The 12061-nt window shown below is 34.7% G+C and overlaps 1 protein-coding gene across 3 annotated transcripts in view; it reads right to left on the bottom strand.

The window, feature by feature from the left end:
* NF1 (neurofibromin 1) overlaps nt 1–12061 on the bottom strand; it is a 282699-nt gene that overhangs the window by 160513 nt on the left and 110125 nt on the right. For all 3 annotated transcript variants that reach the window (NM_001042492.3, NM_000267.4, NM_001128147.3), the window contains exons 12-13: nt 10792–10923; nt 2578–2712 (exon numbers count right to left, since the gene is read on the bottom strand). In NM_001042492.3, the coding sequence (NP_001035957.1) occupies nt 2578–2712; nt 10792–10923 (267 nt within the window). The remainder of the gene's footprint in view (nt 1–2577; nt 2713–10791; nt 10924–12061) is intronic.

Below are 12061 nucleotides of genomic sequence, written 5' to 3'. Positions count from 1 at the left end.
CCAAAACCAAATCATTTTTATTGAATGCCAAAGACACAACAATGAAAAAGAGAAGATGTGTTTCCCATCCTCCATGAGCATGTAGTCTCATGGGGGAAGATATCATCAATGAAATAATCAGATCAACAAGTATAAAAATGCAAATCACATAAGAGCTATTATTAAGGTACATGCTGCTATGACAGCCTATAACATGGAAAAGTGTCCGACTCAGGGAGGCTTCCTTAGTGCAGTGACAATAGCTTAGAATGAGTAGGAATTACTATGTTAAGAGTAAGCAGATTCTAGGCAGAGGGAAAAGCAACTGCAAGGGAGGTATGAAGGCATGTGGTTAGAAAGACTGAAAGGAAGACCATCATGAATAGAGTAAAGGAAGACAAAAAATGTAATGCTACATGTGGAAGAAATGGTAGATGGGAGAAAGATTTTGCACGACCCTGTAGATCTATTTGGAGTTTGGTCTTCATAAGCAAGAGCAATTTCAACTAAAAGGGTTCAAGCTGAGAGGGGGCATAATAAGATTTGCTTTTTAAAGAGACTGCCATAACTTCAGTGTGGAGAAATGATCAGGGGGATCTAAGAAACGATGCAAGCTGAGTAATTAGGAGGCTTGAGAAATTGAGAGTACTAAAATGGAAGACAAAATCATATTACTTTAAAAATACCATGATTGAGACCATTTAATAATTATTCCTACATTCCTCCTAAATTACTAAGACTCAGATTTTTTATGTAAAAGACAAAATGGTCAAATATTTACAACGAATCTTCTATTTTAATGTACTTATGGTTACCTTGAGAAAACTTATTAACCACTAGATGGCAGCAAAGCAAATAATTTCCATTTTAAATGATCCTTGGAAAATGGCAAGTTTTGCTTAAATTCTTCTTGAAGCAACATTTAGTAGAAACGGCATTGGTGAGTTTGGTGCCTGCTTTGAATGTGAATTATCACCACGTAAACAGAGTACTGCTAGTATTATGTGACCTTCATGATGAAATAATGCCACAAATAGCTTGTAACACATAACAAAGGAATGAAGAGAAAGGGAACTTCATTTTTTTATAGAGTTTCACTGACAGGTTTTATGGAATTTTTTCATGCCAAAGATCTGTTTATTCTAATTAGACTTTCAAACTTGAATGGGTTTTTCAGGCTTAAAGTATCACAGGCCTTCTTTTGGGGTCACTGATCCTTTGGGAATGTTCCTTCTTCTCTCCTCTCCACTCTCCAAGAAAAATTACTCATAAATACACATTTTTAAAAAATTCACGAAGTTTCATAGAACTCTTGGAATCATAGGCATGTAGTTACAAACTCCCTGTATTACAGTAATTTAAAAAATATGCCACCAAAATCGAAAGCACCTTAACACTTTTTAAAAAGCCAGTTACTGAGCAAAACGATAAGAAACCTTGCTTGATGCTGCTCTCCAGGGACTGAAGAAGCTCAACAAAGGTTAAACATGTCATCCTATGAAAGACACAATATAGAACTATTACATTTGGTGCATTAATTAGTGTTAAATTGTATCTTATTAATAGCAATAATAGCTAACATTTATTTAGTGCTTATTATGCACCAGGCATTGTTCCTAAAGCATTGTATGTACTATTTCAATTTTCCTAACAGTATCTCTGAGATAGGAACTATTATGATCCCAATATATCAGATGAGAAAACTAAGGCATAGAAAGATTAAATAGTCATCCAAATCACATAGCTAGTAGGTAGTCTCCAGCGTCCATGCTGTTAATCACTTCATTATGACTCATTTTTATTATTTGCGTTGTTCCTAATTACTCTGTGTACCAGAGTGATGTTCTCAGAAATTTAATATCATCTGAGGCAGTAAGAGTAGTTATGACAATAACTGACTACTAGCCAGGCATGGGGGCTCATGCCTGTAATCACAGCACTTGGGGAGGCCGAGGCTGGAGGATGGCTTGAGGTCAGGAGTTCGAAGGCAGTGAGCCATCACTGCTCCACTGCTCTCTAGCTTGGGAAGCAGAGCAAGACCCTGTCTCAAAATAATAATAATAATGATAATCACACTAACTCAAGTACTAACCACACCCATTTTCACCTCATTCTTTTTCCAATACAGTATTTGTAGGCAGAGCCAATGATAACAGAAAGCTGATAACACAAAGAAAGGGGGATAGAAAAGCTAAACTGGCAAAAGCAATCTGGAGATTTTTTAAACCAACAGTATAGATGTAGACACTGTGATCGATGGTCACTTCTATCCCCCATACCAGGATTATACCTGAATAATATATAACTTAGTAATAGGATGAGAACAGAGATCTCATCAAAGTATGTTAGTTTAATGATAGGGAAATTAAGAAGAAAGAGAAATGTTAGGAAATGATAAGGGCAATTAAGAATCTGATCTAATTATATTAGTATTCATTATACATTAGTTTTCTTAGAGACGTCTTAGTTTTCAGGTATGATCAGAAAGGATCAGTAAGTGCTCTTGAGCTAAAAATTATCCTCAAGGTCTTGGCGTTTCAGCTAAACCCAATTAACTTAGTGTGATAATTTTGAGACATTTCATAAAAAAATACTTACACAAAGCAAGAGCTTTGGATCTGCATGAATTAGTTTCACCATGGACAAGAGAAGATACTTATAGCTTCTTGTCTCCAGGTCTGTAGGTTTTTCTTTAAATTTAAGGCTTGTTACTTTTTCTTTAAATGTAAGACTCTAAAAACAAAACAAAAACATGGTATCAGACATAAGACTCAGGATAATAGCTATCCAACCTTTTAAAAGAAATTTATTATTAAAAACCTTTGAAAAAAGCTATTTTTTATACTACCAAATGTGTGGTATTAGTAGAAACACTCAATAGTAAGCATAAGGTCAGTATTATTAAGCTTAACAAAACAATGAAAATCGTTTTTGCACCATTTATATTTTTTTTTATCAATCTAATAAAACAATGAAAATCTATTACAATACTAAAAGCTTAGTATCAGGTTGTAAAACATCTATGTAAAAAACTATTTTCTAAAATGTAAAAACATAAGGGAAAAAAGATTTGGCCTATAGTTCTCACAAATATACACACTGGGTAATTTATTTAACAAACATTCCCCAGACATACATACAAGTATTTCATAGACTCTACAACATTATCAATTGTAAGATGCATCATTATTTGATGTCCCAAAAGGAATGAAAAACTGCTGTCAATTGTAAGACACCATTTAAAATAAGATACATTCCCAATTTTAGAGAAGAGTAAAAATAAGTGCTTCTTAGAATTAATGAAACATGTAGGCAATCTTTGTATTTACTAGTTTAATTGTAAAATTTGCTTTTTCCTTCGACGGCACTCCACCTCTTTTAAGTTACAGAATGCATGCATTTTGCCTGAAGAACATTTGTAAAACAGAAAGAACTCAGAAAGGTAAACTTACAGAAAATATGTTTCAATTATAGAGACATATGATGAATTAAAATAATTATAAATGTTTTTCAACCAAAAATCCAACAATTATATTCCAGAGCTAACATCACCTATTATTATAAAACATCTCCTTCCTTTTTTCCTTGAAAAGAACACAAAACTATCTGATTCTGAATGAATGTCTTTATGTAAACATATATATAATACAGAAATAACAAGACTGTGTACCAACTGTGGACCCATAATACAAATGTCCAGGTAAACAGGCTGTCTTTCAAAGTTAAGAAGCAGACATGCATATCTACAACACAAATGAACTATCCTCAATGTTTAAGTGAAATATGCATTTGTTATTATACCCAAGAACACCGAAGGGTTTTAGTCCTTGCGGGGAAGAATAGCTATTTAATGCACACATTTATACTCAAGAATGTCACTACAGAAGAGAAATAGCAAAACTTCCAAATAGTTTGCTTTTTATAACTGCCCCCTGACCCCAAAGCAAATGTTTTACTAAATGATTTAATAAATTCTGGTTTTACTGTTTGCTCTCTTTCAACTGTATTTTTTTCCTCACTCTAAGTTGAGGTGTTTCACCTCAGATCAAGCTGAAACTTTGATTAAACGAATTTATTTACTTTGATGTAACTAAGTGTAACTATCAAATGGCTCTTCCCTGATGCAGCCATTGCACAGGAACACAAGATCAGAGAACAATGAGCAGGTATCAGAATTTTTCCTTAAGAATCATTTCCAAAAAACGTAAATAGAGTCATATGCCACAAAACAACATTTCAGTCAATGATAGACAATATGTAACATAGCTGAAAAATTCCTATCACTTAGTATCATAGCCATCGTGATGTCCAAGCACAATGCGTTATTGTTTGTAGTGATGCTGGTGTAAACAAATCTTCACTTCTAGTCATATAAAAAAAAAGTATAGCACATACAATTATGTACAGTATACAATACTTGATGAGAATAAATAACTGTTACTGGTTTATGTATTTATTATAATATATATATTTTGAGACCAAGTCTCACTTTGTTGCCCAGGCTGGAGTGCAGTGGCGCGATCTCGGCTAACTGCAACCTCTGCCTCCCGGGTTCAGGCAATTCTCCTGCCTCAGCCTCCCAAGTAGCTGGGACTACAGGCATGCACCACCACGCCCAGCTAATTTTTTTCTATTTTTAGTAGAGAAGAGGTTTTGCCATGTTGGCCAGGCTGGTCTCGACTCCTGATCTCAGGTGATCCACTTGCCTTGGCCTCCCAAAGTGCTGGGACTACAGGCGTGAGCCACCAGGCCCAGCCTACTATAGTATACTTTGTATTGTTATACTCCTACTTAAAGATAAAAAGTTAACTATGAAACACAGCCTCAGAAGGTCCTTCAGTAGGTATTCCAGAAGAAGGCATTGTTACCACAAGAGATGACAGCTCCACACGTTATTTCCCCTAAAAACCTTCCAATGGGAGCAGATGTGGAGGTGGAAGACAGTAACACTGATTGATGATCTTGACCCCATGTAGGCCTAGGCTAACGTGTATGTTTGTGTCCCAGATCTTAAAACAGTTTTCAAAATAAAAATTAAAATAGAACATTTTCAAATAGAAAAAACTTACAGGATATAAAGAAAAATATTTTATACAGCTAGCTATACAAAGTGTTTTAAGCTAAGTGTTATTACAAGTCAAAAAATTAAAAAATTTAAAAGTTTATATTTTAAAAGCTACTGTAAAGTTATCATATAAAAATATTTTTTATAAATTTGATATAGCTTAAGTGTAGTGTTTATAAAGTCTACAGTATAGATCCTGAGTATGAGAAAAATGCAAAAGTATTAAAAGTAAAATAAATTTAAAAAAATTTTAAGTCTACAGTAGTGTAATGTCCTAGGCTTCACATGCACTCAACACTCACTCAATGACTCACCCACAGCAACTTCCAGTCCTGCAAACTCCATTTGTGTTAAGTGTCCTATACATTTTTTTCTTTTATACTGTATTGTTACTGCACCTTTTCTGTTTGAATAAACAAATACTTACCATTGTGCTACAACTGCCTAAGGTATTCAGTACAGTAACATGCTGTTTAGTCTAGGTTTGCAGCCTAGGAGCAGTAGGCTAGACCATATATCCTAGGTATGTAGCAGGCTATATAACCATCTAGGTTCATGTAAGCAGACTCTATGATGTTTGCACAATGACTGAATCACTAAGGATGCACTCATTTCTCAAGACATGTCCCTGTCATTAAGTGATGTATGACTATATTAGTTTAATTATGTCACCTCTTAATCCCAAATATCAACATGTAAATTCTGTTCCAACATGGTTGCCTAATATGAAATGTATGACTTCAGAAATTCCAATAAATTTAATTCATCTCAAATACCTTTTAATTTTAGTGGGTTACAGAAAGTGAGGAAAAACATGCTAAAGAAGCAATGTGTTTCTTAATTAGAAATGTAAGAAAAAAATTCATTCATTCATTAGTTGATCTTCTATATTGCAGGTATTAGTAGGAATAGAAGCTGGTACATGTGATCTGGCCAAAGATGAGAGGCAATCATGTCTGGGAAGAAATTCATGAACCAGAGTCTTCAGATATCTATTAAAGGCCCAAACCACTTGTTAATTTAGACCATGTGACTGAATAACAGGCATGTAAGAAAGATCTGGTGAGCCAGCATGCCACTTAAGATAAAAAATGTTGAGAAATAACAAATACTTGTGAAAATTCATATATCTGTTATTGGCAGTTTTGAATTTTATGAAAGCAGGAGATGTTAGTTTGCAAATAGTAAAATCAGTGCTAAGACAAACATTTCAAATATTAAAAAAATACTACAAAGGTACAAAGGAGAAGTTATGGCTCAACATTCATATAAAAAGGGCCAAAGAGTTTAAATAACTAAAAAGTCAACATAAAATAATAATACTATCTTAGATTGTATTAATAGAAACAGGGTATACAAACACAGCAGTTTAATAGCTTTTATCAATTATTACATCATAGTATTATATCTGTATCACTAACATCAGATCTTAATATGGCATTTTAATTTTAAAAATTTTTGTCAGGTTGGTCTTTCCAGAAGAGAAGCAAATCAGAAACAGGAGGGTTTTTTGTTTTTTGTTTTTGTTTCTTTGAGACAGAGTCTCGCTCCGTTGCCCAGGCTGACAGTGCAGTGACACAATCTTGGCTCACTGCAACCTCCGCCTCCCGGGTTCAAGCAATTCTCCTGCCTCAGCCTCCTGAGTAGCTATAACTACAAGTGCCTGCCACCACGCCTGCCTAATTTTTTTGCATTTTTAGTAGAGACAAGGTTTCACCATGTTGGCCCAGTTGGTCTCAAACTCCTGGTCTCAAGTGACCTGCCCGCCCCGGCCTCCCTAAGTGCTGGTATTATAGGCATGAGCCACTGTGCCCGGCCTGTACGAGGATTTTGAAACCACATCAAGTAAGAAATTCATTCCTTCATTCATTCTGCAAACATGTACTAAATGCCCAATATGTATCAGATGTTGTTCAAACGTTAGGGATTCAGTGTTGATTAAGCCAGACAAAGCTACTGCTTTCATCAAGCTAACTTGCTAGTGAAGAAGGACAACTAAAGAACCTGATAAAGACACTGAACTGAATGTCAAGAAACCTCAGAACTAACTCTGGTTGACTGTTCATTAACCATGCATTTGTTATTAATATAACTTTATTTAAGCTTCAGTTTCTTTAGCTATAAAAACAGACCCAACAAACACACATACAGTTTTAAAGAGAGCTAAAAGAGGCCAGGCACAGTGGCTCATGCCTATAAGCCCTGCATTTTGGGAGACTGAGGCAGGTGGATCACCTGAGGTCACAGTTCAAGAGTAGCCTGCCCAAAATGGTGCTAAATGGTCTACTAAAAACACAAAATTAGCTGGCATGATGGTGGGCACCTGTAACCCCAGCTAGTCGGGAGGCTAAAGCAGGAGATCACTTGAACCTGGAAGGTAGAGGTTGGAGTGAGCCAAGATTGCATCACTGCACTCACTCCAGCCTGGGTGACAGAGTGGGACTCGGAGTGGGACTCTGTCTCAAGAAGAAAAAAAAAGAGAGAGAGCTAAAAGAATAAAATCCCTTCCAATGCCAAAACGATATAAAAATAAAACGAATTCTAGGAGTACAGAATAACCTTATTCAAATATCTGCAGGGCCACCTTGTGGAAGAATCAGAAGTATTCTATAGAGCTCCAACAGAAAGAGGATCAGTGATGGCTGTAAGTGACAGAGACATGATTCTATCTTGGTCGAAGAGAAAATTTTCAAATAATTAGCTCCTTCCAACAAGTAACTTGTCTCTCCAAAATACAAAGTGTTAGTAAAGCCTTGAAGCAGATATTATTTTACTTTTACTGTTTTGCAACAGAACTCCTAGATTGCTACTTCTGAAGCAAGCTAATGGCTCAGGTTTATCAGTCCCAAATCATTTGAGGCAATACAAATGAGGGACAACCCACTGAACATACTCTGTAATACAGTAGTTCTCAACTGGGGGTGATTTTGTCCCCCAAGGGGCATCTGGAAATGTTTGGAGACATGTTTGGTTTTCATGACTTGGAGGGCTGGGGGGTAAAGGGAATATTGGCATCTAGTGGGTAGAGGCCAGAGATGCTGCTGAATATCCCACAATGCGCAGTACAGCCCCCTATAACAGAGTTATCCAGTCCAAAATGTTAATAGTGCCAACAGTAGGAAACTCTGATGTTAGGTATTATCTGTAAACCATTTATTATATATATTTGCCTGTGTTGCCAGACTCCATGCCACCTGTAGTGAGTTTTTTTGTTTGATTTTTTTTTTGAGACCGATTCTCGCTCTTGTTGTCCACACTGGGGTGCAATGGCGCCATCTCAGTTCACTGCAACCTCTGCCTCCCAGGTTCAAGCGATTCTTCTGCCTCAGCCTCCTGAGTAGCTGGAATTACAGGGATGCACCACCACGCCTGGCTAATTTTTGTATTTTTAGTAGATATAGGGTATCACCATGTTGGCCAGGCTGGTCTCGACCTCCTGACCTCAGGTGATCCGCACACCTTGGCCTCCCAAAGTGCTGGGATTACAGACGTTAGCCACCGTGTCCGGTGTTGAGTTCTTCATTAGACATTTTCAAGCAAAAGCTATAAACCTTTTGCTTGGAATCTCGGTGAGGGGAAGTGCTGTGTATGTTTAGTTCACCATGCTTCCCTGGCATTAGCACCTTTGCCTGGCAAAGAGTAGAAGGTCAATACTTCCATACTGGTTATCTGACTGTTAACTCACCAAGTTTATGAAGGGTGAGATTTTACCCTAACAGCCATTCAAAACCTAAAATTTTCTTATTCTAAAAATTGTTTCATATTACATTTGCTATTTATTTTCTCTCCTGGTAATATCAGCCCAAAAGCTGTCCTTTAGTCATTATGTACAAATATACATACATATAACATTTCAAAAACATAAACAGCTTAGGAATGATTTTGAAAATTAAATGTATATTGATATTTTCAGAAAATAATTAGAAATAAAAACTAAATTCTTATTACAGGTGTCCTTGAGCCAAAAGAGGAAATCCTCTCTAGTTATGGCTTTTCGGTAAAATAATATGTAGCTCTGAGAATCAGCTTATAACTAGGGCTAAGAAGTAAAATAACTTCTAAGTGTAGAGAACATATTTAGACTACCAATCAAATTTTACCTCTGTTCAAAATAATCATTTAGTTTCATTTTTAGTCCTTATTCACAGAAAATTATGGGCAGCTGGTAAAGTGGATATTGAAGTTAAATAGGAAGTGAATATTAACCCCCCAACAAGTCCTATTATTGGAGGTCATTAACTTTCTACCAGAAAAGGTAGTAAACTTAAAGCAAAAAAGTCAAATAAACTTCTGATTTCCCAGATCTCTGGAATAAACAGGTCAATAAATAACTTTTAAACAACTTATTTCAAGTAGTTTTAAAAGATTTTTTAAAAATATCTTATTAAATGACATTTAAACAGCTATTATTTATGCTTACCTCCAATTAACTTATACCTGTACTGAAAATTTCTTCAACTTAAAAAAAAGTGAAGTACTTGGCATTACAAAAAGTCAACTAAAAGGTAACCTTGCATTTTAAAGTTTACTTAAGGAAACATCATTGCCATGATCTTTTGGCTATATTTTTTAGGCTCAATAATCCCAAAATATATGACATAAAAAACTTCTCTATTTGAACATCTAAGATAAACAATCCTCAGAAATAATTACTGACAACTGGATAAGAGTGAACCACAACTGTATAAAACCAAAATATTTCACTGACTAAGGGGACTTGGAAAAAGAGAAGCATGCCAGGGAGAAAGCTGTTTAAATTATCTCCTAACTGTGAAATGACTAACTTACTAGATAAAACCAACAGGTGAAGACATGCTATATTTTCAGTTGAAATGACAAGATGTGACTATAATGGTAACTATACACAGAAAAGTCAAAGAAACCAAGGACTTTTCTGATGTAGTTACAATGGGTCATACTTACAGCCACAGAAGCCCACTGCCATGCAAAACAGTGACTGGTTGGCATCTGATCATGTGAGCGACAGCAGCCAATAATAGAAAATAAGAAGCAGAAGACAAAGCACCACCAATCAATGTCAAGAGTTGCTCTTGTATAATACTCTTGCTATACATAAACACCAAAAAAATGACTTCCACAATCTTATAATTATCTTTTTAAATTGATTCCATAGGAGTTTTAAAATTCCATATTAAGAGTAATAATCTGTGAGAATACCCAATTTTAAGTCTGCTTTTTATTAAGTTTAGAGTCAAATGTCAGTATCAAAGTTCCTATCAGTTGTAAAACCTCAAGGCATATTTGTTGAAATACAAAATATTTTTATTTTAAATACAAAAACTCTAAATTTTATTCATTTCCTATGTTTAATAGTCACCATTCAATTAGCTAAAATGTGCATTGGCAGCAACATTCACTCTAACCCAGGAGTCAGCTTCCCTTACTCATCCCCAAAACGTGAGAGGCTAATCAAAATATTTTTGTTCAAAAGTTTTAAGGAGAAAAAAAACTTTAAAAACAGAAAAAAAAGGTGACATTCATTAAGACTTTCAGTGTTTTGTGAGAAAATTTATCTAAGAAAAGTTAAGTTCAACTCATGGAAACAGTGGAAAACAAACATAATCTAGTATTCAACAATATTCTAGATACAACATACCACAACATTTAGAGGAAATGAAGGACCCATTCAATTCTCTAAAATAACCAAAGCAGCAGGAATAGGATAAAGACACTAAAAAAAATGCAATAGAAAGGAGGTGAGATTCAAAATTCGTGATTTATCTTACCGGTGCCATTCGTATTGCTGGGTGTGCTCCACAACCTTGCACTGCTTTATGAAGTGTTTCACCAAACATATTTCGAAGTTCAACCGAGTGACAATACACAGCATCAATCTTAGGCCACCAATCCAATGCGGACTAGAGAAAAACAAAGACCAATAGGAAGAAAAAGTACAAAATTACGTGAGTTGTATGCTCTGTTTATCACTGTAGTTTTAAGTTTTATCCTTTTGTCGGGAACTTTCTAAGACCATGCAAACACACACCATGATTTCCAAAGTCTTCAAACAACGTCTTTAATTCAAACACTAACTCATACATATTATATTATAAAACATAATAGTGAGCATGAGACAAATTGCCCACTTTATGAGCATGTGCATGTGAGACATCTTTTCTCGATGATTAGCCAGTGAATTTGAAAAATAAAGTCTTCAGAGAGCTAATCTGTAGCCAATCTTCTTTTTTTTTTTTTAAGTTTAATGTTTTACAATTTCTGGCACACGTGCATACATGGCATATATTTTCCCAGGTAAGAATGCTATTATCAAAGCTTTAAAAGTGATTAGTGGTTCAACACAGTATTAAAAGTGTATGTGGAAAACCATTACTTATATGTTTACAGACAACAATGATAATTACAACATGAAATTAGTAAATGAAATAAAACTATTAAGTAAACCTATAAATTGATATGCAATGATGACATGATATATGGGAGACTAACAATTACCATAAACAAAGACAAACTGATCCTAGTGAAATATTTTTTAAACAATTATTTTATGTATTTTCTATTTCAATTTACCCTGTTTAACTCTGATGTCTAGTTTTTAGTGCCTATTTTATTTGGAAGTGTATCTTTAACTTTAAAATGAATTACTTGATATATTATTAAAAAATGACAATTGTGAAAATCACTATATCTTTAAAGTCTATCATTTAATAAAAAACTGACTGGATGAATTTTCACTACATATGTAGACTATGCATTAAATGACCTAAAATGTAGGCTTCTAATTTATAATACTCCAGATGTTTATTTAAAAAATCTGGAAGAATAATACATTCAAATTGTAGATAAGAGGGATTGAATAGCCTCACATCTCTCACATTTCAGTCCCAGATTTTTTCTTATTCAAAACTAAGCTAATTGAAGTCTCGACATTTTAATTTCTTCACTTGGAATTCTCAGAATATTTTGAATAGCATCGAGTTATATTACCTTAACCCAAACTGTGGATTACAAATCCTGTTCGCCGGATAGTAAAATATA

The sequence above is a fragment of the Homo sapiens genome, chromosome 17 (assembly GCF_000001405.40).
Source record: "Homo sapiens chromosome 17, GRCh38.p14 Primary Assembly".
Taxonomy (NCBI): domain Eukaryota; kingdom Metazoa; phylum Chordata; class Mammalia; order Primates; family Hominidae; genus Homo; species Homo sapiens.
This window is presented reverse-complemented; position numbering and strand designations above follow the sequence as displayed.